This window comes from Homo sapiens, chromosome 8, assembly GCF_000001405.40.
Source record: "Homo sapiens chromosome 8, GRCh38.p14 Primary Assembly".
Lineage (NCBI taxonomy): Eukaryota > Metazoa > Chordata > Mammalia > Primates > Hominidae > Homo > Homo sapiens.
This window is the reverse complement of record NC_000008.11, coordinates 74257691-74285589: the sequence shown is the minus strand read 5'-3', so window position 1 is coordinate 74285589 and position 27899 is coordinate 74257691. Positions and strand designations below refer to the sequence as shown.

Below are 27899 nucleotides of genomic sequence, written 5' to 3'. Positions count from 1 at the left end.
GCATTCAGGTGTTACTGTCAAGTTTTGACACTAAATTTATAAAAAGGAAATATTGATTTTTAAAGCTTTCAAGATCTTGGAGTTGCAGATAAAGGATTCTAGCTCAGAAAACACTGCATCCTAGGCTTTTTTTTAATTTAATAATATACTATATATTGGATTTCATTCCATATCATTACATAAAGAGCTTCCTCATTCTAGAAGTAGTACCGGCTCACATGCTAGACTTCTAGAAAATATTTTAAATACATATAGTATTTATATGTAGTATTTATATGGAAAAATTCATAAAGTAGATATAGTATTTATATGGAAAAATTCATGTATATGTGTGTGTATGTGTGTATGTGCAGTTAATAGCAGAATCAGGTCTAGATCAAGTCACTAACTTTGAGTGTAAGGCTCTTTACAACACCATAATGCCTGTTGGTTTAAAAAAAAATCTCCAGTTAGAAATAGTAACCATAGGCTAGGCGCAGTGGCTCACGCCTGTAATCCCAACACTTTGGGAGGCTGAGGTGGGTGGATTACAAGGTCAGGAGTTCGAGACCAGCCTGACCAGCATGGTGAAACCCCATCTCTACTAAAAATACAAAAATCAGCCAGGTGTGGTGGCACCTGCCTGTAATCCCAGCTACTCAGGAGGCTGAGGCAGGAGAATCACTTGAACCCGTGAGGCAGAGGTTGCAGTGAGCCGAGATTGCGCCACTGCATTCCAGCCTGGGTGACAGAGTGAGACTTTGTCTGAAAAAAAAAAAAAGAAAGAAAGAAGAAATAGTAACCATACCAGCACATACCGGTCTATGAAAAAAAAAAAAAATGCAGCTTAGCCAAGCTAGTAGAGTAGTAATATACAATATTATAATTTGTTTAGTGTTGGGGGAAAAAAGCCTTAAGAACTAGAACTCAATTTGTATTATTCCTTATGAGAATTCTTTTGCCAGGTAAACATATTCAGATTTATTTATAATATCATTATCTTTATTCTTTGTAGGAAAGTTGCTAGTCGGAAAGGCTGTTTCAATAATGGAGACGCTTTTTTTAATTGGTGTGTCAGCAGATGACTGAAAGGAGAAAGCCTTGTAATAGCATGCACAGTTGTCACCGTGCACCGGTGTTTCAGCAGAGAAGTCTGACTAAATAAGGCAATGCCCAAGTGAGCCTTATCAGCGTTTGACCGGAATACAGGCTAGCTAGCTGACATACACCACCCAGCCACTCTCTCCACAATTCCTTAACTTCTCAGCAGATGTGCATTCATCACATCAAAAGTTACTACCTACAGTGCTGGAAGATGTTGCACCTGCATTTTATTTTATAAAAATTTGAATAAGAATGACACATAAGTCTCAAGAGAGGATAAAGGAGAGAGTTCAGTTTACTGTTCCAAAAATGTGTTATGCATGTAAGCATACTTATTTTTAGTGATGTGTCAATAGAGAGTTTGTTTAGGAGTTCATTCACCAGCCCTGGCTCCTGAGGGCTTTTTCCCCAACCACCACAGCCCTCCCCAGCTGGCCTGAGGTTAAGAGACAGGAGGACTCCTGGGTCCAAGGGAAGGAAATTTGCAATCACTGCCACCCCTTGAATCTCCTGGGTGGAGGGGAGGAATGTAAGGAAAAGGAGAAAGTCTCAGACTTTAAATCCCATCCAAGCGCTACTTGCCACTGTTCTTTTCATTTCCTCCATCTCTTTGCTCTGTGGTGTTTATATTCTGCCAGTCTATATATTTATAAAAAGAAAAAGGAGCATTTTTTATGGGACTAAATCCAAGAGTTCAATTCTAATGCCAACAAGTACCACTTTCAGTGTATGTTAGTATTCAAGCTGCAATCTGGGCTTCTAATCAGGGCTTGGGGAGGGGGAGCTGTGTGTGCACTCAGCACGCTGTTAAAAGAAGTTTCTGAAACTGATGATTGTATATTATGCCACTATAAGATAAAAATAGAACTAAAAGATTAAAATGAGTGTGTGGAGCCAAAGCTCTGAGTTAGATTCATAACTTGTATTCATCCTCTGCCTACCTGTATTTCTGCCCATCTTTCCTCCTTCTCACCTTCCTTTCCCTTTTCTTAACCTTTCAGTGTAGAAGGTTGATGTCATCACAGCCCTCAGTTTCTGGCTTTCTGTATGCAACCATCAGTGCAAGCCCCTCTCTTGTGCTCCCTTTTTCCCATTCCCCTCTATAAGCACTCAGTAATATGTTTATTATATGTCATTGATTATGTAGACATTGAAAAATGTAGTGTTGTTTTCTATATTTTTAATTTATATAAATGACACTATGCCACACAGGCCATTTTCTTTTATTTATAATTTAAAAATATATATTTAAGATATTAATAACATTTTATATTTTACATGCATTTTAAGTTGTATTTATATGTACTTTCTGCCACTCAGCACAGTTTTAAGATTTATCCATGCAGCCATATGTACCCCTGGTGCATTCTGACTGCTGCATGGTAAAGTCTACATACACGTTTTACTCGCTGCTCCCCTAATAACCCCTAACACCCTACTGTCACAAGCATTGCTACAATAAACACTGTTTAACTGTGTTTTAAAAGTCAAGATGCCCTTCATTAAAATACCTCTAGTAAAATATTATACCCATTTAAATTCATTTATTATGTTTAAATGACACATATAATTGTACATATTTATAGAGAACAGTGTGATATTTTGATACATGTATACAATGTGTAATGATCAAATCAGGGCAATTAGGAAATCCATCACTTCAAACGTTTATCATTTCTTTATGTTGGAAACGTTCCCGGTCCCCTCTTGTAGCTATTCGAAAATGCATAATGAATTGTTAACTATAGTCACCCTGTAGTGCTATAGAACACTAGAATGTATTTCTCCTACCTAGCTGTAATTTTGCCTCAGTTAACCTCCTCTGGCTATCCTCATCTCCCTCCTAACTTTCCTCACCTCTGTTAACCACTATTTTACTCTCTACTTCTATGAGATTAACTTTTTCAGCTTCCGCAAAAGAATGAAACCATGTGGTATTTACCTTTCTGTGCTTGGCTTATTTTCAAATATATACATTCTAAAACTCTTAATTTAAAATGTTTTCCTGCAGTTGAAAAGACTGTTGGTACCCACCTCAGCATGCATATTCGTGACATCTCTATCCTAATGGCACAGAAAAAAACTTAAAGCTTTCCAATAGGGTATGGAATACATTCTGTGGTTGGGCAGATCGCTCCAAGTGTAATATTTTAGAATAAAATATTCACACATCTTTTGAATAACAGCTTTGGGTCTTTGATAGGGAAAACTTGGTGGAAGGTCTAGACTAGTAGGCATGCAAGGGGGACTAATCTTTTTCACACTCAGTGAATATCTCAGTGATTTAAGGTAGTGGAGTGTGGGAAGAACACATGCTTTGGGGTCAGGCAAAGTCTTGACTCCAACTTGGGCAAGTAAATTAACTTCCCTGATCCTTGGTGTCTTCATCAATAACTTTAGGATACTGATAGGGAAATCAAAAGGATTAGGTAGGTTCATGTATGAGCTGGATCTTATGTAATGCCTGATGCATAGTGATCCTTCCAACACAGGGAACTATGGAACATTTGGAAAGTCTCCTAAACTCAGGTTGGATTAGACAGCTTCTTAAGCGTGTTTCCGAGAGCCAGTTTGGTCATTTCTGCGTAGCCTTTCCCCATCTTCCAGTCTGTTATAATGTCAAAGGTGGCTGCCATTCAGCTCTCCTGGGAAGGAAGAGGCTGGCAGTGGGTGGTACCAGTGATTGTAAGAAAAGGGCAGGGTGTGGGAGGGGGAAATCCAAGAAGATTTATCCCATGACCTAAGATCACAGAAGTATGAATGTGAGGGGATAGTTGTGGAATGAGTCAGGTCAGGGTTGGGGTAGCTCCCACTAACCACACAGGACAGATGAGAATGAATCTGGAACACATCACAGTGATCCCCAGGCTTGGAGTTTGGATTCCCTGCAATCAGAACTCTTAGCATCTTTTACAGACTCTCATGAAAATGAAATGTTCATATCAAACATTAGTTAGAAAGTTGTCCATAGTAACTTGTTTCTTAAAAAGTACGAGGCTATTTCAAAATGTGTGTTGGGTACTAAGGCTAGGTCTGTCCAACTGAAATAATTGGGTAGACACATCTGTCCACTTAGTATTTTCATCACTCTTAACCAAACTGGCTCACTGAGGGATCAGTAGGATTTTTGCTCCTACTATATTAAGGCAAGACTTACATGTCCAAGTAACCACTGGTAACATTCTGATCCAGGGAGGATAACAGTAAGCAGAGCTGGTTTAGCAATGCTAGTTAATTTCCAGTTGATTATTAGTTTTATCTGTAGCTTGCAGAATTGATAAAAATCTTCTTTATCTGAAAGATCAATTTAGTGAAAGTTCATTTTAAGACTTTAAATACAAAAGTTTAAGTTGTTTAAGACTTAAACACAAGAACCAGTAAAATAAGCAAACAAGTAGCACAAGTTGGCAGATATTTCCCCATAACATTTTAATTATTTCCAGGTGAAAGACAGAACCACGCGGAGGAAAGAACATGAGCTGAGTCATTGAACACACTCAGGTTTAGTCCTGATTCTGCTGTTTATTGGTGTGTACTTTGGACAAACCATTACCTGCTGGAGCATATTTCCTTATACATAAATTAGAGCGAATAATAACCTTGCAGAACTGTTGTGAGAGTCCAGCATAATGATTTGTTCATAAAGTGCTTAGCAAAGTTCCTAAAATATAGATGCTCCGTAATTGCAAGGCAGGCAGTATGATATGTGTGTATTATTTGAGTGTATATTTTCATGCATGCTATAGTCTTATATAAATATTCAGTTTTTAATTTCCACATTTTTGAGAACTTAAGATAGATTTTTGATGTTAAATTTAACTCTAAAATGTCTTCTGGTTAGTTACCCTCTGGTGTGCTGAATCCACAGTAGACAATGTGTCGCCGTCTTTCCTTTCCTCCTCAGTTTCCCTGTTATCCACTTTTCTCTGTGCTGTTCCTTCCCTTCCTGCCTCCCTTCTTCCTTCCCACCTCCATTCATTTCATCACTAATAAGAAAGGTGAATGTGTCAGTAGAATAATCAAAAATTAAAAACCAATATTATGTGAACCATCTGTCTGCTTTGCTGAAGAGTAGGCCAGTTCTTGGAAGTCAAATTTAAAATGGCCATTTCTGCACATAATGAGTTCTTACCCATGAGGATGGCAAAGTCCCCCAAGTTTTCACCACCTCACAGCTGAGGAGGTGATACCTTTTGCCCAGTCCATTAGGGATATTTGTACTTTGCACCCTGTATGGTTCTATTATGATGCCTCCTACCATGCACTTATAAAAATAATCAACTATTAATCCTCGAGTGTTATGTTAATATACATAAACATCTATTGCTAGACTTTGCAATCTACAGTTACAAATACATATAACTTCATTTTTTACTTACTACAGATTTCATTGCTGTGCATAGTCCATTATTTAAGATTCTTTATCATTCAAATGATAGGAAAGTTTAGTTAGAAGGTATATTTGCCTCTCCTTTGTTGAATCTGATACCTCTATGCTTATTTACCAAAGCAAAAAAATTCAAATTTAATATGAAGACTATCATCACTAAATAACAAGAGGTCTAGTTTTTATTTATACAAATAAATGAATTTATTTAAAAATAAAATGCAGCTACCACAACTATCGAATATTCAAGTTGAAGGGAACTTTAGAACTCTTTAGTTTTCCAGTGGTTTTCAAACTGTGTTCCTCAGAATTCTTAGGTTTTATTGAAGGGCTGTTGTTGGAGGCAGGGGAAAGCCAAGGGGTGAAGATGGGTAACTGTAAGCCAGAACATACACACTTTTATCTGCTTTTATAGCAAGGGGAGAGAATATGTTAGATTTTTGTATAAGAAGTGAATTGGAATTGCGGTATTTCTCACCCCTTAATTTTACAAATGAGGAAACGAATATATCACAGGTAGATAGAAGGCCCTAGGCCTAAGTAGTGAGGAGTCTGCAGTAGAAGGAATCCATTCTCTTAAGCCCCTATGCAGAGCTGCTACTCCACCCATGCTCAGCCCCCTAGGAACCTAAGATCCCAGCTGCTGCCAGTGTCAGGAACACAGAGGGAATAAAGTCTGGCAGCCCTGGTTTTAGGACTAAGCAGGTTGTGTTGCTTCCGAGGAAGTAAAAACTGCTGGGAAGTCTTTGATGTCATCTTCTGCTCCACTTCCCAATTTACCTCTTGTTTATTTTCAAACCTTAAGCCTAGCATTAGGTAAAAATTACTGTTGACAACATTTTAGCTCAGCTCCCAAAGAAATTGGATCCATATGGGAAATGTTGAACAAAGTTGAGCTAAGTCAGAGTCCACCTCACACCAGGTCTTTGTTTCTCAAGGAATGGTAGAGCCTTGGGACCCTAGACAAGAAATGTCCTCTGGCCAGCCAGATACTGAATCAGAAATAGGGACATGGTGTTTCCACAGCCACATACCAGTGTTTCCAGAGTGGAAAGAGTGGCCTTGTGGGTTGTGGCAGCTTCTAACTTAAAATGATGCTGTGTGTGTGTATGCGTGTGTGTGTGTGTGTGCGCGCGTGTGCGTGTGTGTTTCTGTGTGTGTGTGTGTCTGTCTTGCTTCATAATTTACAAAACTTACACATATCCCTAATTATATTCCCATACAAACATGTTGGCAATACCACTTCCACATCTCCAAGACTTTTAAGTGGTCTGCCAGAGTCACACAGCTTACAAATGGCAGAACAGGACCCAAATCCAAGTCTTTGACCAGCACCCCATTAAGTCTCTGCTGTCCTATTTCTCTGTCATCGCTCATGAAGGGAAAAGGAGTTTGGCACAACGTATTACCTTAAGCTTGGTTACTGTTTCTGGTAGCATTTTACAAAGGTACATAAGTGCATTAGTCCGGGTCAATCACCCAAGCCAACACTGTAACTCCCTTAGCCTGTTGACTAAAAGGTAGGAGGAACCCAAAGTGTGCAGGTGGCAATCTTAACTTCCAGTTTAATGGAATTGTTGTGTCTTCTGGTGGCAGCATTCCTCCTTCTGGAACTAAGACCTCTAGGCCAGCAGAATGTAATGTCACGGGAACAGGAAGCAAAAATTTTGCTAGTGGATCACTAAGGGTGATGGTGAGTGGGGCCTCTTCCACTTCCCCTGCTTGATTTCTGGACCAGTGAATCCTGGCTATGGGAAAGACAGTGCCATGTATTAGACTTACAGTTCCACATGGCTGGGGAAGCCTCACAATCATGGTGGAAGGCAAGGAAAAGCAAGTCATGTCTTACATGGATGGCAGCAGACAAAGAGACAGAGCTTGTGCAGGGGAACTCCTCTTTTTAAAACCATCAGATCTCATGAGACTTACTCACTATCACGAGAACAGCATGAGAAAAACCTGCCCCCATGATTCAATTACCTCCCACCAGGTCCCTCCCACAACACATCGGAATTCAAGATGAGATTTGTGTGGGGACACAGCCAAACCATATCAATAAATATCACATATATTGCCTCTTTTTGTTTAGAAATGGGAAATAGGATTTTATATTCATATTTTCTTGTATATACTTAAAACTCTGGGAAAATCCTTTTGCTTAACAACAACAAAAAAAGCAACACTGGTTAGCTATGGCTGGGTTGATATCAGGGTGAATGGGAGACTCTTCCTGTTTTTTTTAATATATCTTTGAGCCATGTGAATATATTACTTATTTAGAAACTTATTTTTAAGTTATTAATCAAATGGATAAATATTCTCTGCATGCCATTGAATGCTCATTCTTTGCCCAGCATTGCCTGTATTTTCTGTTGTTAGGATTTATGTATACATCTGTGAGCCTCGTCTAGCCCTAAGAGGTGGGTTCTACCACTATTCACGTTTCACAGATAAGAAACTCAGGCACAGTGAGGCTAAGTAACTTACCCTGGGTTACAGGCTAGTGAGTGGTGAGAGCTGATTCACATCCAGGCAGTCTGATTCCAGAACCCATGCTTTTAACCACCATAGAAATGGATTGGACAAACAGCAAGAAACTCAACTTTGGCTGTGTTCCAATATGATGTAAGAGGGACTTTGAGTTTGCCACTTCTGAAGTCTGTGAATCCTAAATAATGTGTCTACATCTGTAGTCCAGGGAGACTAAAATTCCATTATGCTTATCTAATCCAAGGATTGCAGGTATGCTGTGGTTGTAACAATATGCTGTAGATTGAGGTAGCCGGCTTTTCAATGCCAAATATTACAGGTGCCAAGACAGCTAAGGACATGCCGAGGGCAGTGGGTGGGAAGGGAACAGTGAGGGCCTCCAGATGGCGGGAGCACAGCGGGGACCAGGATGGGATGGCAAGTGTGGCCTCAGGGTGGCTTTGCAGGCAGAGGGCTTCATATGCCACCCCAAGATCACAAAGTGCTTGCTAGAGCGGGTTTGGCCTGCATCACCTGCTGAAACCTCAGTGAAAGAGAACAAACAACACTGGCAACACTTCAACATCTTACAAGGGCTTAAGGGAGATGTTGAAACTTCGTAAGTTTTTTATCTTTAAGTAAAATAATGTGAAAAACTAGTGTAGCTAACAATCACTTGTTACATGGTATGGTCGATTATACTCTTATTTAAACTAAAAACTTCATCTCTTAAAAGGTCATTATATGCAAGAATCAACTCATACAATAAGGAGAACTGTATATATTGATTTGAGAAAAATTTTAAAAAGTCATTTGGAAGAAAATGTTCATCTTTTATTAATTCAGATGATGTGGAAAACCAAGGATTTACAGACAGAATGGACAGAAAGACCACCATAGGAAAAATCTACAGCTCGACTAGGACAGTGGGGTGGGATGCAGGTGTGCATGTGCAGTTCTTACCTTCAGGTCACCCTTGCTTCCGCCACTCACCAACTGGTGGCCCAAGGTAGATGACAGATGTTATGCAGAAACTTCTCAGATAATGCTAGTTAAACCTGGCATATAATAAGCACTCGGTGTTAACAGTAATTATCATTATTGTCAATACTTATTTGATTGACTTAATATCGTCAGTGTATCCCAGGTATTTATATTTTTGCAATGGTAGTACTTTATAGGTTGCAAATCATTGACTAGGAAGAGTCTGCCACTCTCCTTTATATATTGTCCTGTTACTGCCACATAGAGGCGAGAACCTGGGACTTGACCTCCATGTTACAAAGGGCAGAGTTCACAGGTCATCTCCCTGCTCCTGCCTTCACAGCCTCAGATCAACCTGTTGTTCAGGATGAGTGGAGCACGGTCCTATGGCTAGTGTAGACATCTGGGACCTGTTCCATCTGTCACGACTCTTTTACCTAAAAACCTTGACCTGTGCCCCTTTTTTCCAGCTCCCAACACCTATGGTTTTATGTGTCCATTTAATGTTAGTTTCTCTCCTGGCCTCCTTAAAAGAATATACACTTTCTCTTAACTTCTCCTTTACCCTCTTATTCCTAGAAATAATGACCCATAACCCTTTCATTCATTTAAATCTTAGAGCATGTATGAGCTATATGTGTGCTTCTAGTTGATAATATTACAGGGAAGCATACAATATAATCAAATTCGAACCATAATTAGGAATATTTTTAAAAATATTTTTAAAAGCTCAATAATAACCACTTAGATTGTTTTTTAAGGCCAGAATTGGTCTCTTTCCTGATTTGATTCTGACGTAAGAAAGAGGACTCAGAAACCTTTCTCCCCATTCTCAGAGCAGGGGGTGGGGAAGTGTGTCTGCCTCATATCCTTGTTCTGTGAAGAAAAACTGATGACTGTTACATTAAAGGATTGGAAGTTCCTTTAAGGACGTTATGCTCCCATTGTCTGTTGTGATGTAGCCACAGTGGGCTTCCAAGGCAGGTTCTTGATCCAGATTAGTGAATACACAACCTCTTGCCAAGTGCAGTTCTGCATAGTTACGGTGAAAGAGCCGCTCACATTTTTCGTTGTCATGCTGGCTTTAAGAATGAGCTTAAAGAAACATCTTAGAAAAAGAAAAGAAAAACTAAGAAGACCTTAGGTAATTTTCTTACTTAAAAGAATACCAGAGAGCTTGGGAAGGCATTCAGGAAAGAAGATGACATCTTGTTTATTGAAATCTGGAATTCGCTCTCTGAAAGCTCAGAGCACTAAGGGTAACATGGGATTTATTTGGGGTTGTGTTTTCATGATATTCAAAGCGTAATTATATTCAGTAACATGTGCCCTCCAGTAAAAACAGACATCTCTGTTTTGATCCATTTTCTTCATCTCTGTTTTGCTACTATGTAGATAAGTTTGAAAGTCTGTATCCCTGACTACATGTAACCAAATAGTCTGTGAATGGTCCCTCCTGTGTTAGGGACATTTAAAAGTGGCTTTGAATTAATTCAAGTCTAGGTGGATGAAGACTTTTTTTTAACTTAACATTTCTAAGATGGTTTTCCTGCTTATTCCAGAAAACAAAAGCCCAGTCTGTTATTTACTACTTGCTTGGGTAGTAATGTTTATTCAGCAAAAAATCAAATAAAAATTTGGCTGACAGTAGGAAAATTCTCATAGCCCAGGCAGGCAAAATAAACATCTTAAAAGTAAATAGGCCGAAACCTTGGTTTCTATACTAAAATTCCTCCAGATCTGCTAGGTGAATATGATCATATAATTTAAGCTGGATTTTAATTCCACTGCCAGCAAAGTGAAGATGTTAATATCAGCATCATGTGTGTTAGGTCTTTAGGCAAAAGTCCTAGACATGTAAAATATTTCCTCAAAAGTTAACTGTCTTCTGATTTTTCATGATAGAGGGATAATTCTGGCTTTAGGTCAACTTTGAACTGTGAAAGTTTACAAGCCCTCAACAGCTGTTCTCTAGAAAGGTGTTTTGTACATTTTATGTAATTTTTAATGATTCAGGGCATTTCTGACCTATTTTTCTTCTCGAAGCAACAGTATAACTCCAGGTAAGAGCTTATACCCTCTGTCTAGCACAGACGTGTCTAAACTAATGGCAGTGGAGGAGGCAAAAGGGAGGTGCAGCTTAGAACCAAATGTTCTTAGAACGTCCACATCTAAAAGCTCAGAAACATGAGAAAGCTGGCTTTTTTATGTGCGTGCAGTTTCTTGTAAGCTTCTCTCAGTAAATGTATTATACCTTACAAAATTTATATCTGGAAATTGGTCTTTGAAAAAATTATTCTATAAATATTCCAGCCGTGCTCAGCTGGAGCCAGAAAGCATCTTTACTTTTCCTTTCATTATTGTTCACGTTTCTCAATTCAGTCTCTTAAGTTTTTGGTGACTGCTCTACAGTCCCTGCCATGGCTCATTTCTCCCAGAAAACGCCCACTGCCCCACCTATTGGGTGGTAAACACCTAGGAAGCGGGGAGTGGGAGTCAAGCCAGGGTGTGTGGTACAGAATCTCACAGCTTGATTCAGAGCCAGAGCACAATTGGATTATGTCAAAAAGGGAAAAGGTGCCACATGCATTTGCCGTGTTTCTTCGCAGAGCAGGCCAATTTAAATATAGCCTACTACCACAACTTGTCCAGAATTAAAATAGCCCAGAACAAGTGGCAAATGGCAGGGAGTGGGGCTTCTTGCCAGGAGATGGCTAAGGGACGGGAAAAATGGGCTTTTGAGAGAGGTTGTAGAGGCTCAAGTAACAACAGAAGATAAGACACCTCCTTCATAACTTAAACTTCAGGTCAACATAAGGTCCCAGGGCATAAGAAAGAAGACTGGTTAAATCACTCAAAAGCTTAGAAGGGTATTTCAAAAACTGAATAAAAATGCGCTATATTATTTTTAAAATAAAATCGGGTTACTGAATTCCAGTTTAATGATTTCTTACCAAGAGGCAAGGACAGTACCATTCCAATTAGGTTTTCCAGACATAGGAGACATTTTTAAGCCATGAATTGAATTACATAATAGCCCTGTAATAAAGCCTTATTTGACAGAGGAGCCTGGTACTGTAGGTAATGAAATTATAACTTAAAAATATGAGCGATCCTGACTTGTTGTCAAGGCAGTGCTAGTATAAGAGTTGTATCTAATATTTTGGTTAAATTATTCATTCCCGAAGTTTTTTGTGTGGTTGGGTTTGTCGTCGTTGTTGTTGATTAGTTTTTCTTGTTATTTTTCCTGGGACTCAACCAAAAAACATTAGAGGATAAGAAGAATTCAGTTAAGTATGTGCCCCAAATGAAAACAAAAAACTTTCAGATACTCCTAAGTTGGTGCAGATATATATGTATTTCAATCTAATATAATGTATACATATTTAAAATGTGTGTACATATTTATATATTCTTCTCCCAAAATTCACCATCATATTAAACCCATCGAGCAAACATTCAGTAGTTGAGAGATTTTTCATTATACAAGGGATTCATCACCTTATAACATTTAAGTTGGTAGTTACAAATGATGTGGTTAAATTGATAGTTTCTTCTAAGATTACAAAGAAGATTTTAAAAATAATCTAGGTCTTTCCATTATGTTTAGAGAAGGTAAGGTTTTAGTTTAAACATTAATTTCAGACTTTGAGAGCCAAGATAGACAAACTGTTTTCTGGAATTATGCCAGCACCCTGGAAAATATATTTTAATAAGTAACTTGCAAGAAGGTATATTTGTAGTATCTCAGAACTAAGGGTCCGGCCGGGCGCGGTGGCTCACGCCTGTAATCCCAGCACTTTGGGAGGCCGAGACGGGCGGATCACGAGGTCAGGAGATCGAGACCATCCTGGCTAACACGGTGAAACCCCGTCTCTACTAAAAATAAAAAAAAATTAGCCGGGCATGGTGGCGCGCGCCTGTAGTCCCAGCTACACGGGAGGCTGAGGCAGGAGAATGGCGTGAACCCGGGAGGCGGAGCTTGCAGTGAGTCGAGATCGCGCCACTGCACTCCAGCCTGGGCGACAGAGCGAAACTCCGTCTCAAAAAAAAAAAAAAAAAAAAAGAACTAAGGGTCCAACAGAGGCATCTCTGATCAAATCAGAACCTTTTCATTTCACTCTGCCATACAAGATCATGCTTTGAGCCGTTGTTACTATGACGTCTCGGAAAAGCGTTACAGAGAAACTTCATATTTATAATTTACTGTTGCCAGCAGTGATCTTTTGCCAGTGAGAGATTTAAGGGAGAAGAAGTTTTCTTTTCACCCCTAGCATTACAGAGGGGTTGGAGCAGAATGATGTATGCAATGTATGTAATAAGTAGGGAAAGAAGAGTGAACATGATATTTAGAACTAGGCAGAATTACCTGTGTGCCCAGAGTAGCAAATAATGTAAAAGCATTTCTAGACGTGTAGATCATTAAGTATGTTGAGGTTTTGTTGGAGGTAGAAAATCTAGTTGATCAGGAAATGAGGATTTGGACAGCAATGAAAAAATTTCAGGGGAGACAGCCAGGGTTGATTATTTTAGGGAACACACATTCAAAAGTTATCTGAAACCTGGAGAAGTGTTACTAGGAAGACAAGGACAGCAGGACATGCGTAACGTTAGTAAAAGCTCCTGATGGCATAGCTGCAAGCAGTGAGTAACCGCCCCTCGAGTTTCTGTGCAGTTGCCTGCCCCTTTGTCTTGGATGGGAAGAGGCTTCTTAACTCTCCTTCTTATTCTGTGGAACAAATGCCGTTTTCCAGCTCTTGGAAGAAGCCCTGTCTGCCAGGGCAGTGGGAGCCCCTGCAGGATGTGATTCTTCCAAACAACATGATGGACCCCACAGGCCCCTCCTTGCCCTGACAGCCCTCATGTTTTCAGGGTTACTGGTCAGCCCACAAGACTCCATATGAAACTATAAAAGGGCTTTCTGTGCCCCTGTTTTCTTCATGCCATAACAAAGCATTGCCTGTGAAGTCTCATCTCCCATTGTGTCTGTTGCAGCAACATTTAGGTCCAAAATTTTAAATACATTTTACAAGTTTCCACCAGGATCCTAGAGAGCCTCATGGCTACAGGGTTCTCTGCCTTAAATGGAAGGGGATTTTTCACATTTGTGCTTCAGGTAGGGCAGAGTCAGCCAGTAAGGCGAGGGCACATCCTTTTGTCACCAAATCTGTTGTCATGTCAGAAGACAAGTATGATTGTATTGAAAAGGCAGGAAGAACTATTTCCAGTACTCCTATCGCTGGCCAAGACTTAGCACATTGAACAAGTCTAACTTGGCAAGTACAGCCTGATGTCTAGCGCAATCCTGGAGACCCCACTAAAGTAGCTGTCAGATAGCGGCGAAGCAGCAGGCAAGGCCCTGGACCCCAAAACTAATACTAGACAACTTGCAACAAGGGGGAGGGTGGGCCTGGGGTGTTGGTGGGTAGCTTTCCCTACCCCTACCAATTCAGTCGACTTCCCCACAGTTAGAAGATGGCAGTCCATAGATTCTGAATTCTTGGGCCTCTAGAAATTCCTGCCTCGTGGAAATGACGTCCTAAATCTCCCCCTTGTTTGGGGGATGTGCAACATTCCCGTTGTGCCTAGAGTAATTCTTGAGATTCTTTGGACTCAGTCTGAACCTCGGATTGGTGAGGAGTAGTTCCATTCAAGTTATTGCATCTGTCACTAAGGAATGGAGTCCAGGAGGGCAGACCCTGCATTCCTCAGTGGCTGCAGCAGGAGTCCATCCATCCCACCAACAGCCGTGGCATCCCAGGGCCCAGAATCAATCCCACCACAGAGATAATAAAGGTTAAAAGCTCATCAAAGTGTGTCTAGAGGAGATACCCAGGCAGACAGCAGGCTGCTGGTCAGGAATATCCCAAGTCCTATAAGCTTGGTAAGTATGTAAGCTTTGAAGCAGTCCACTAACAATCTATGAGGACCAGAGGAAAAGATTCCTGTTATTTGAGCCAAGGTTTAACATGATTCTTGTACTTAGTTGGCTTGAATCCTGACTTGCTTTTCTACCACCATTTTTAATGAAGGAAAATTAAATATTTTTATCTTGATGTACATGCATTCATCTTCAAAACTGACTTTGCTCCCCAAATTGCACCAAAGTGTTACTTTTCTTTAAGGGTACTAAACAGAAACGAGTCACCCTGGTTTACATATTTGTTTCTGCTTCCATTTTCTCAGTGTCCTCAGATAAGCTATCATTTTATCTGTTGAGTATTGGGATGAAAAATTTGTTTTTGGTGTAACACAGCAAATGCTAAAAATAGGTAAACTCAACAAATTTGAGACTCCCATGAGGAAAAATAAGAAAACTTCTTAAGAATTCAGGAAGAACTAGATGATGTTCTGATATTTCCTTTTAAACTTGGAGGCGTTAATTACTAATTTGGTGATTTGGGGAAGGCAACTATGAGTTGGATGAATCTGTAGTATTTTTAACACCACCTAAAAATGTTCCTGCTAAAGCCTAACCTTGATGAAAACCAAATCTGTCCTACAGTCTTTAGTAAGATGTTTCCTAAACTGTGTTCTTTCATTTGAAGGTCAGCCGAAACTCGTTAAAAAAAAATACATTGGGAGAAGAAAGCTCAAAATGTGCATTTTTCAATAGGAAGCATAAATGTATTAAAATAAAAGATTGAATAGAGAAGTAAGGAGAGCAGTGACAGATTCACAGAGAAAGCATGAATACAAGAAGATGAACTCTAGATATAAATGAATTCCTATAGTAGAAAGAAAAATGTATAGCTAGATGATAATAAAATGTTTGCTAAAACAAATCTAGAAGATGGTGATAAAGAAACTTCTTTTCACAACATAGTCACCAGTCTTCATCCTAAAGGTTAGGAGACCTGGGCTCTGCCCATTCATTTCTCTGGATAGCCATATGACTTTGCTGTGTGACTTTGAATATGTTCCTTAATCTCTCTGAGTCTCAGGTCTCTATAGAAGGAAAAGTAATTACCTGGTCACCAGGAGGGATCATGTGGACTCTCAGAGCCCCTTTCAGTTCAAACAGTGTTTTATAATAAGTGTGTTAAAGCAGAAGTTTCAAGAGCAAAACCAGAAGTTTAATATAAATCAAAGCAAATACCCTTGTGCTTGTTACATTTTTGTCCTCAATATCTGTTGCAGCAAGAAACTGAAGATTTAAAGTAAAAATATGTATGGGCTTCTTAGTTGAACTGTAGAATGAATGATTCCTTGTCACCAAACAAATGTGAAATAAACAGAGTGACAGAGCAGCAGTTCCTACAAGGAAACATGAAGTGAATAAAACAAGTTCACTGAGAGAATAACTATACCCCTAATGTTTTAACATTCCTTACAAAACAGTTCTCTCATAAATTCTGTAACTTCAAAATGTGTACCTTGGAAAGGATAGACCTTAAGATGCGCAATGGTTTTGGGCACAGTCCCAAGCAAGTTCATGTTCATACTGTTCGGCATCAGAAGCCTGATAGAGGAACAGATCTTTTTGTTCTTCGCTAGTTGGGCATATCTAGACAGAACAAAGTGAGGTAGCAGACTGGTGGATTTGAGATTTCTAGAGAACCATTTTAGATAATATAAAACAGATATCTTTTTACCTTAGAGAATGTTTTTCAACTGTGAGTTCAAGGAGGAGTTCTAGAGGGTGCATGTCACTTTTAAGGAGTGAATGGTGTTTGCTTAATTTTTAAAAATGTATTTATAAGTATTTATAAAATGGAATCATTTGAGCACCACAGTGTGCATTTAATGGGCATTTGCAGCTGCTAAGTGGAGATGAGATCAGTTTATGATCCTATCACTTGGTTAGTGTGTCATTCAGCTGAATAGCCCTAGCTCTCGTCATGTATTTTGCCCATTATACAGTCTTGAATTACTCTAATTCCTAGTCATGCTTAAATTTGTACCCATAGTGGACCATTGGTAAAGGACAAGAAGCATAACAACACTGATATGTGAACAAAAACAGCATTGACATTGGTAATTCTCATTGTTACCCAGAAGGTCTTCTCAGGTTCTGAAGTTCTTATCAAGCACTTTCAGATGTTTGCTCCAGTGCTAAAAAGAACATGGAGTCAGGACTATATCTAGTATCACTTTATAGAATATGCATCCATTTTTAAATAATTTGGCCTGCCTGATTTTTCACTTGTTCCTAACTTCACGCTGTCTATTTCCTCTGGTCCAAAGGCCCCCATTGGCTCTATATACTTCCTTCCTACCCAGAACTCTGTCATGGGTTACACCATCCTCCCCATCCTCCTTGCTCCATGTTTCCAACCCTGCATCAAAGCCACCTTTTCCCTTCTTTTCTCCCAGAAGAGACAGCCCTGCTGGAGAACAATGCAGAATCATATAGATTCTTATGTGCCTTTCTTCCATTCGTTAGAACTTCTGTACAGTGCTGACTCCAAATCTTTACCTCTTTACTTTAAGCCCCAGATTTCCCCTGCCAACTATTTATTTCAACAGAAGACTAATAGTGGGCATTTATCTGTTAAGTACCTCTCTATGTTAGTACTAAGTACTTCATATAAATCCGTCCTCATCCCAGAACAACTCTATGAAGTAGTATTCTCCCTATTTTACAGGTGAGGAAATTGAGACTAAGGTGATTTAGCCAACATGTGATAAAGTGGGGTGTGCACCTGGGTCTGCCTGGTTCCAAAGCCCACAACACTTTAGGTCTTTTTTGAGCTTAGGCTCCTTCAAGTTTTAGGATCCTTAAAACCACTGGATCACCCCTTTCACTGTTCTTATATTCTTTCCTGTTTCCTTTCTTTCGCTCATCCAGCACTTAACTCCAGCAATTGTCACCTTTTCAGAGCTGCTTCATTTTCTCCTGTTCTGTGGGCATCCTTCCCACCTTCCGACAGGATCAGCTCTCATTTTCTTAAAATACAAGTAAAACGTCTTTTTCCTTGACCCAGCTAATCCTTCTGGTTACTATCCAGATTTCCTGCTTCCTTTCTGGGTCAAAAGTCTCCAGCATGTGGCCCACACCTGCTTCCTCGGCTTCTTCTGCCCACTTCCTCGCCAACTCCCTTCAGTCCGGCTTCTGGGGTGGCCTCCTTGTGAGAACTGCTCTCTGAAAGGTTCTTATCAAATTCAGCAAGCTTTCCCTAGCCCTCACCTTCTCCAGGACTGACTCATTTCAGTGACTGCACATGAATCAGCCAGTCAGGCTGAGAAACATGCAGCTGCCCCAGAGATAAGGCAAATTCAGATCTGGCCCACTTACCTCCTAAAAGAAGCCCAGGATTTATGCAAGAACAAGAACTGTGAACAGCTCTATTAGAAGTTCCCCTTCCACCTGTATGTTACTGCTGTTCCATTTACCTTCTTGTTTCCTTCACCCAAGGACACTTTTGTCTCAGTCCCCAGTTCTTTGCTTTTTTGACTCACTTATTTGGTGAGTTCAACCACCTTTCGTTGAACTCATCTTCTGTGACATGACGCTCACAGTTCCGTTTAGAACCTTGACCTTTAATTTGCATAGCAGCCCTGTATCTCCAACTACAGATGCCTATGTCATGTAAAATCCTACTTGTCTAAAACAGAACTTGTCATCACTCTCAGACCATAGTGAGGTCATTTATTTGTATACCAAGTTAGAAATCTTGGGGTTATCTTTTATGTTTCTCTCTTTTTTACCTATTTATTCATCCGCTAATATTTGTTGAAGACAGCCTCCATGCCAGGCTTTATGTTAAAAGCTAGAGAAACACACATAAGTCTGCCTGCATTTTACAAAGTTCTGACACCTCTTTCCTTAAAATGCCCATCAGTTATTGCTATACATTACAGCTGTTTCCTCTATTAGATTCTTAGCATGCCAGGGCTGGGTTGCATGCAGCTACTTCTCAACGGAGAGCCCAGCCTTTGTTTTTTCTCTCCTCACTTCCTCTGGACATATAAGATGCTCTGTAAATAGTAGTACATTAGGTGACTTTCTTTTATTTTTAGGTTTGTAAAATATGTATAACATAAAATTTACCATCTTGACCATTTAAGTATATACATTTCAATAGTAGTAGACCCACATTGCTGTGCAACCAATCTTCAGAACATTTTCATCTTGCAAAACTAACAATCTGTACCCATTAAACAATAATGCTTTATTCTCCCCTCCTCCAACCCCCTGGAAATTACTGTTCTACTTTCTGTCTCTGAATTTGACTACTCTAGGTACCGCGTGTAATATTTGTCTTTTTGTGACTGGCTTATTTCACTTAACTTAATGTCTTCAAGATTCATCCATGTTGGGGCATGTATCAGAATTTCCTTTTTAAGTCTGAATAATATTCCAGTATGTATATAATCACTGCATAGCACTGAATGGGAGATCATCTCTCCCATTTATCAGAGAGATGATTTGCAGATCATCTCTCTGATAAAGAGTATCTAGAATGCATAGAACACATTTTGTTTATTCATTCATTGACATTAGGATTGCTTCCGCCTTTGGACTATTATAAATAATGGTGCTATGAACATGGGTGTATAAATATCACTTTGAGACCCTGCTTTCAGTTTTTTTTTTAGTATATACTGAAAAGTAGGATTGGTGGATTATGTGGTAATTCTATTTTTAATGTTTTTAGGAACCACCATACTGTTTTAACAGTAGCTGCACCATTTTCCATTCCCTCTGGCAGTGGACAGGGCCTTCGGTTTCTCCACATCCTTGCTAACGCTTGTTATTCTCTGTTTTTTTTTTTTTAATAGTAGCCATCCTTATGGGTGTGAAATAGTATCTCATTGTGGTTTTGATATGCATTACTTTATGCTTAATGATGCTGAATGTCTTTTTAAGTGCTTATTGGACATTTGTGTCTCTTTGCAGAAATGTTTATTCAAGTCCTTTGCCCATTTTTCAATCAGGTTGTTTTGTTGTTGTTGAAGTGTGGGAGTTCTTTATGTATTCTAGATACTAACCCCTTATCAGATACATGATTTGCAAACATTTTCTCCCATTCGGTGGGTTGCAGTGATTACGTTTTAAAGAGAAGTTTTCATTTTATTTAATGGTAATGTTTTTGAACTTTTGAATGACCCTCATTATAAAGGACCTTTCTCCAAAAATTATTCCAAGAAGAAAACATCCCTTAAATATTTCTACATCAGATTTTTCTCAACCCATAAATAACATGAGAAGGTAAGTCTTAGATAAGTTTTATAAAGCACAATGAAGTAGAATAACCAATTATTTGGCATATTCCAATCAAGGATTAGAAATGTGCCTTTGATCTGTCCTATCTGGAGAATATAGCCTTTAAGCTTATTAAGTTTTTGATCAAATGTTAAGGAATAAAGTCTATAAAGTACTTAATTAAAAATAAGTACTTATTTTCCAAGCTTAAAAAATGTTCTGGTGATGGACAAAAAGAAATCTTACAAAAGGAGGCTGAATAGTAGACACCGCTATTCCCAAATTATTACATATGTCCCCTGAGCATGAACACACTGCAGGGGGCTAGAGTTCAGAAAACTTAGTATTACAAGAGCTTATTAATCCAGGAATGTTTTGTTTCATTTATTTATTCTGCTTTCCAAAAAGTATTTGCAGGACACTATAATGAGTTACATACATGATAGAATTCCTGATTTTGGGGGTATAAAAATAGAGTCATGTGATTAGAAAGGATTACCGTGTGCATACATTGAGGATAGTTTTACTCCAAGTTTCTAGGTAGCCTTAACAAAAAGAGAAACAATCGATCCCGTAGTTCATGTTGTATGATACAAGGAAGCACAGGAGTTAAGATCAGAGAACACATTTTTCCTGGCACCAGACTGTAAGAAGGAGTGTATCACCTAGATCTTTAGAAACATGACAATGATTCCCCATAATGGATAGCCTTTTACAAAAGGCATGTGAACATTCTTCGTGTGAATCTTGGCTCCTCTCCTCTCCCTACGAATCTGTGGATGCATTTGTATAATGAAGTAATGTGGTTTAACTTTTTATCTCATTGACAAAAATCACTTGTGGCTCAGAGTGGCCTCACCTACTCTGTGGCTATTAATACTTTCAAAGCCTATATCATAACACCTCTGCAAAAGTTTAGGCCCTTGAAATATCAAATACCAGACTTCGTTAGGGATATTATGTCCCTTAGTGTAACACGGGGCATAATAGTTTACATTTTATATTATTTAGAAATAACTAAATAACATAATAGTTTACATTTTATATCTAAATAACTTGATATTGCTTTTAGAGAAAAGGAAGACAGGAACTCCTGCCTTGGCAAAGAGGACAACTTATTCACTGGTGATATAACTTGTTTTAAACCAGGACATAAGAATTCTGTCTTAAAGTTATTATTCCACGTCCTATCTCTTTAAAAAAAAGGAATTTATGGAGAAAATTAACATTCAGTAATGAATAGATGGTGAAGATGGGTTCACATAAGTCATCTTCCCAAATCAAGTTTACTGAGAATGGAGCTTTAGCAGAATTATTGTCTATTCTAGACCAAAGTCTTTATCAGCTTCGTCAGTTAGTAGATGTATAAAAGATTGCAAGTTAGAAGTTGGGACAGACATCTCAGGGCCCTATGTGTACCTGTGCTGAGCCTTGCAGAGGAGTCTGTCTTATCAGAGAACCAAATCAAGATTGAAAGACTCATTTCTTACTAGGTGCAGGTAACTCAGAAATCACACCTCTGATTTTAAACTGACACCTGTGGAGCCAGTTGGTTCTTATCCCTATCAAGAGTATTCCTTGCTTAACAGACTGATTTCTTCTTACGGGCTGCAACTGTCTACACAGGATAATTGGTTTTCTCAAATTTAGGTCTCTCATGAATGAATAATGTCACAGTCCAAAAGAAGGCTCACAGCTCCTATTTTTTGCATTTTCTTACCTATGGTGCCATAACCCAGGAATGTGTTTTTGGTTATTAAGCACTTTCAAGACAATGTGGAAGGAAATAAAATGGCAGAGAGGAGGATCGAAGTAGGGAGGTCAGTTACCTTTGTACTAACTCTGGTGAGGTGACAGTGAACCAGAGCATGTGAAATGGCTGGGTAGGGGGAATATACTCCGAAGGTGGTGCCAGCTGGATTTGCTGACAGTGGATATGGTGTGTGAGAGAACGGGAGTTGTCAAGGATGACTCAAAGGTTTTGGCTTGAGCAACTGCAAGAATGGTGTTGCCATCAACCAAGACTTGGGTTTTTATGTGCCAATTGCTTTTATTTTTAAATTTTTCTAATAATTTTCTTGAAATACTTGTACGTCAAAGCAAATCACAAGGACGGTCCCTGAATCAATTAGGTTATCGCCTCTGCTGTCAAGTTTTAAGAGTCAGATCAGTAAACTAACTTACACTTAATATGTCACAGATTTTTAAAAACATCAAAATCAGCACAATTTTGAAGCAGTTTATTGTTGAGAAAAGACTATATAAAAAGTAGAAATAGCGCTTCACCTTTAGCAGACTTGTTCTCCATTCTAGATGAAAATCTTTATCAGCTATGTGAGTTCACAGATGTATAAGAGATTGAAAGGAGCTTGGAGATGTCTCAGGGACCCACGTGTACCTTAGCAGGAGGAGAGTATGCTCAGCATGTTCCATGTATGATTGAGTATGCTTTTTGTTAAAGCCTTATATGTTTAAGAAAAAGAAACTAGATTATTTTCTCCTAAGCCAACTAGAGAGCTCATAAAACACTATTTCAGTTATTAAAGAAAAGAAAACCTCAGATACTCATCAAATTGCTGGTTAGGAAAATAATTTGTCATTAAGTTTTTAAGTACAGGTGATGCCTAGCATTCAGAAATTCCCCATTTATTGTTGCAGCTGGTCACAGTTGACCTCCGCAGAGCTTATGTCCAGGAGGGAGTTCCATAGCTGCTCAGTGAGCATAACCAGCTCCCCAGGTCTCCCCAGCCAGCATGGCTGTGGTGTCTTCACCCATAAGGTGCAACTCTTCACAAGTTAAAAATTCGGTTTATTTGTTAAAAATATATAGCCCTAAAAGAAAGTCAACAGCTGATGCTTAATTTAAAGAAGTCGCTTTTCAGTTACTTTTTACTGCATTTGATGGGAGAAAGTATTTGTGATAATGGTATTTGGAGATTCTTGAGGGTCTGAAGATTTGTAAAATGTCACAGTCTTTTGATAAATGAAATGCTTTTGGGGCACGTATTCCCCTTTGGTGTATGCATTTTTTGCCTGTGACCAGCAATAGCATCAGGGCATCCAGTTTGAGTGGTTTCAGCTTATCTCTCCAGACTGCCTAACCTGAATCCCACCCCCCAACGCAAGAACAATCGCAATTGACTGATTACAGGGGTCGTGTGTCACTCTGGAACTGAGCCTGGGATGTGATCACATGAATTCACTAACATGAGCCAGAGACAAGTCCAGATTATTCCTGGGCAAAATCTAGACATGCCAGTGGCCTTAGCTGTACAGGCTGGTGTTAACAGCAAACTCAGAGTGGGTTTCTGTTCTTCCTTCTTGTCATCGGTTCCAAAAGCTCTTGAGCAGACTTCAGGATTCAGGTTTGAATGTGGTCTTGACTCATCTGGCCAGCTATACAGTAGCACTGAGCCACAGAGCTGGGCTGGATAGAAAGGTCCTCCTTTGCTGTGTGGTCTTATAGGAAACAGCAAGTAAAAAAGTAAAGGGTTAAGTACTAGCAGGCTTCACTGATGCTGTGCTTCCAAAATATATTTGCAGAAAGGTTAAGCTGTATTTGTCTATTCTCTAGTTTAGCATATTATAAAAAGTGGTAGATATACTACTGCTGTTTTATTTGACTGTATGGTGGTGTGTCGTGATTGAATCCGAATAAGTTACTTGTACTTGAGTTTTGTAAATTTATCATTAAAGGGCTAATAGATAGTATTATAAAGCAGCATAGCTATACTCTTATGGCTTCATTAATTATGACACCTAGACATAATTAGGCTCTGGCTAAGAATAGCGGACAAAATGGAAAATCATTTGGGGGAAAAAAGTTTAGATTCTGAGAAACTGAAAGAACATTAGCGGAGGGCATCTGTTGATTATCAGGCACAACACACAGGACTAAGGCATTACCCATCGTACCTCAGCAATGGCACCCATGAGGGGTTATTCCAACAGCCAGTTGTTTAAGAATATGTCCCTCCCCTCTTGATGTTATTTCCATTTCATATTTCTTGATACCCCATACACAAATAATCTAAAGCATCCTCCATGGTTTAGAAATAGCAGTTTTGATGATTCGAAGTTGATCCACTCATTTTTAATGACTTTATTTTTTAGAGCAGTTTTAAGTTATCAGAAAAATTGAACAGGAACTGCAAAGTTCCCATACACCTCCTCTCCTCATGCACACACACAATATCCCCTATTATTAACATCTTGCATTTTGAGGTGCGTTTGGTGTAATTGATGAACCGGTATTAATATATTAGTATTAAAGTCCATAGTTTACATCAGGCTTCATTCACTGTTTGTGTTGTACAGTCTATAGATTTTGACAAATATGTAATGTCCCCCACTACAGTATCATGCAGAATAATTAAACTCCCCCAGATATGCCCTCCTTTCCACCAATTCATTCTTCCCTACTACACCCCGAACTCTTAGCAACTCTGAATCTTTTTACTGTCTCTATGGTTTTGTCATTCCATTCAGTTTTAAGAACTACCCAGCTTTTCCTAAGGAAGCATCATTCATTCCTTTATTCATAAAGTGGTCCCTCAATAAATAGTATGTGCCAATGTAGCGTTCTGCACTTTGGGATTATGACAGAGGACCAAAAATTAAAAATTCCAATCTTCACAAAGCTTACATTCTAATACATCAAGCCTTCAGGCTTGCTTAGATCCTAAATAGAAGTGAAAGGAGTCCCGTGAGAGCACAGGACAAGAGGAGGTTATTGAAGAGAGTAATGTGAAAAGGGGGCCTCCTACCAGTAGACCCCCTTGTCTCAGGCCAGGCCCGGTGCCTCCGTGTTTTGGTCCCAGGAGCTCCGCCTGCCAGCCTCCTCCAGCTGCTGCCCGTGTGTTCTCCCTGAAGAGCATCCAAAGCCCATGCCTTTTCCCAACTCCTCCTCTCTCCTGCTGTCTCCAACATAAGTGTAAGCACCTTTTTCAGACTTCCATTAAGTTTTCACTGCTAGTTATTTATAGCCCTGCCTAGTGCTAATAAAATATAATAGAAAATTTACAAAGTCATAAGAAATAGGTACCCATAAACATCTAAAGACTAACGGGACAAGGCCTTTCCCTTTGCAGAGCAGATAAACCAGAGTTTTTTTCTTCCCTCCAACCCTCTCTGGGGCCAGTAGACATCATTCCCTGGTGCAGCCATAAGAAGCCCTATTCTTTTTCCTGCCACTTTCCGCATAACCCTAGTCCTCCAGAAAGATGAGAGGTTTCCATGAGTGAGGACAGGCCAGGGAGGCGATGGAAGACTGAAAGATCCATTTCATCCTTGCCAGTTCTGCCTCGCTGTCTCCTTTTTGGTTCATACAAGAAACATGCCTAAAAGTCAGCTAAATGGGCTCCTCAGGAACCCTTCTGAGCATGTTCTTAGAGCGGGCCTTGTGGTTTGCTCCTGCTGGTGAGCACCAATAGTGCACATCTCCCCACTGCACATCCAACGGCATTATGCTGGTAGCCTGAAATTGGCCACGGTGAGAACATTTACACATGGATATGAATAAACACTACCAATCCCCATTTCACTAATTTTTTTCTTCAAAGAGCTACTTCACCAGCATGCCAGTGGGCAGATCTTTCTTAGTCAAATTCTTACATTGATTGTACCGTAGAAATGAATTTGATAAACACTATTAATTTATATGTTCTAATTCTACTTTCCATAATTTTAGGTGGGGGGGAGGAATGCCAACCAAAGTCAACAGGAGATTTGATCCAGTAAGTTTTGAAAACCACACTTAGCATCAAGCTACACAGACCTTGCTCTTACTTTTCATTTCCCTTGAGAGAAGGGCTAAGGCAATTCATGGGTAGTTTAGTTTCATCTATGTCATCTTCATTGAAATTTCACGGCAATAGGACTCTAAAATTTTTGCTCTTGTGGGTGTCGGGCCATAATCATAATTAACATTTCTTTTCCCAGATTACAATTTGCTTGTCCCTGTGTAAGTAACAAGGGGTCACCTATGCTGACTCGTCCTTTTGTGCCCCGTGTAGGACTGCACATGCCAGAGCGAAGGCCGATGCCGCCGACCAGGCCGCGCTGGCCGCTCGCCAGGAGTGCGACATCGCGAGAGCTGTGGCCAGGGAGCTGTCACCTGATTTCTACCAACCAGGTAAAACAGTGCTCCTTTGATGGGTGAGGCAGGAGCACTGGCTTTGGCTTGCTTTTATTTCCTTTTCCTTTCAACATAAAGATGTGTGCTTCCTGAATCCCAGCAGTACTATTATACAAAACAAGCAAGGGCGCCTGCGGTTGAGGATCCTTCATCTGAAGTGCTTGGGACCAGAAGTGTTTCAGATTTCAGATTTGTTGATATTTTTCTGTATTTGCATGTACACAGTGAGATCTCTTGAGCTGGGAACCCAAGTTGAAACACGAAATTCATTTATGTTTCATAGATACCTTATACACATAGCCTGGAGGTAATTTTATAGTATATTTTTAATAATTTTGCACATGGAACAAAGTTTTGACTGCATTTTGACTGTGACCATCGGTCATGTGGAATTTTCCACTTGTAGCATCGTGTCGGTGCCCACAATGTTTTGGATTCTGGAGCATTTCAGATTTTTGGATTAGGAATGTTCAACTTGTAGTAACAAATATCACCCGAGGTCTGAGTGTTAGCCCTGGAGATGGGTTATTCCCCAGAGTCTCACCCTTCCTCCCCTCTACATATGACCAACAAAGTTTGAGCTGATAGCAGTAAACTAGACAAGAATCTAAAATATCTGATTCTAAGAAATTATTTTAGTGACAGCTACAGATTCTATAACAAATACCCCCAAATTCAGAGGCACTTTTAGTAGTAAGAGAAGAGCCAGTCAGTACTGTGACTTTTTTTTAACGTATCTGAACTAAAGTTCAAAGTTCAAAGGACTGTGGTTAGGAAGTATAGCAGCATACCACTTAAAGAGATTAATCTGCACAGAGTAAGAGGAAAATGCATGTCACAATGGAAGAAATAAAAGTGACAACCTCAAAAAAATCGATCTTGGTCATCTGCCTCTCAGATGTTACAAAATAGCAATCAACAAATATTTGCAATAGTTTAAATTCTTAATTCACTTTCTAGTAGTTTCCTAGTAGACTCTTTCTACCCCTCTCTATAATATACTAGTGTTTTTGTTTTGAGTTTCAAAAAGGCAATATTCACCTATTTATATATATTCTCCGTGATTGTTTGAGGCATCAACAGATTTCTAGGTGAAGAAACCAAAATAAATGTTTTCAATTTATGTTAAAAGTTACATTTCTTGGTAAAGGATTTTTCCACACTGGTTTTTATTAAATCAAGCTGTATAACTAGCATCCTGTCCCTAGCCCAGCACCCTGCATGAGGTAGGTGTTCGATTCATGTTTGGCTCTGGTGAGGGGTATACGCTGTCGGAACCCACAGGGTATCACTGAGTCCTAACGAACGATGTAAGTCAAAGTGAACAAAATAGCAAGATTTGTAGAAAAGCTAGAAACTTGGCTATAATCAAGGATGGAGCAATGAGAAATGACCTGGAGAATGGGGGCAGGAGGTTCCTGCAAAGAAAGAAGACAGTAAAAGGCCAGGCAAAGAAGATTCGGTTTTTATAAGAGAAAGGCTGGGGAGGGACCCAAGGTGGTTGTTGAATGATAGATATCATCATCACAGAGTGACTTCTCTAAGAGTTCAAGTCCAAGGCAACCACTGAGAAGGGTATTTTCTTTCACACGCATCTCTTTTAAACCTCTGGTTGAGATTTAAATCATTTTTTATATATATGCAATTTTTAGGAAAAGGAACCTTTCCATTTTTTGCAGCGACCTCTGGTA

The 27899-nt window shown here is 39.4% G+C and overlaps 1 protein-coding gene across 5 annotated transcripts in view, besides 1 other annotated feature; it reads left to right on the top strand.

Annotated features, from left to right (window-relative positions):
- JPH1 (junctophilin 1) overlaps positions 1-27899 on the top strand; it is an 86841-nt gene that overhangs the window by 35951 nt on the left and 22991 nt on the right. For all 5 annotated transcript variants that reach the window (NM_001317830.2, NM_020647.4, XM_047421996.1 and 2 more), the window contains exon 3: positions 26087-26205. In NM_001317830.2, coding sequence (NP_001304759.1) covers positions 26087-26205 — 119 coding nt within the window. The remainder of the gene's footprint in view (positions 1-26086; positions 26206-27899) is intronic.
- Positions 3371-4570: an enhancer, noted in NCBI's record as "CDK7 strongly-dependent group 2 enhancer chr8:75193255-75194454 (GRCh37/hg19 assembly coordinates)". NCBI's record gives its function as "activates an origin of replication core promoter dependent on BRD2, BRD4, P300/CBP, MED14 and CDK7 cofactors, with strong dependence on CDK7, by STARR-seq in HCT116 cells {active_cell/tissue: HCT116}" and the evidence as "EXISTENCE:reporter gene assay evidence [ECO:0000049][PMID:35650434]".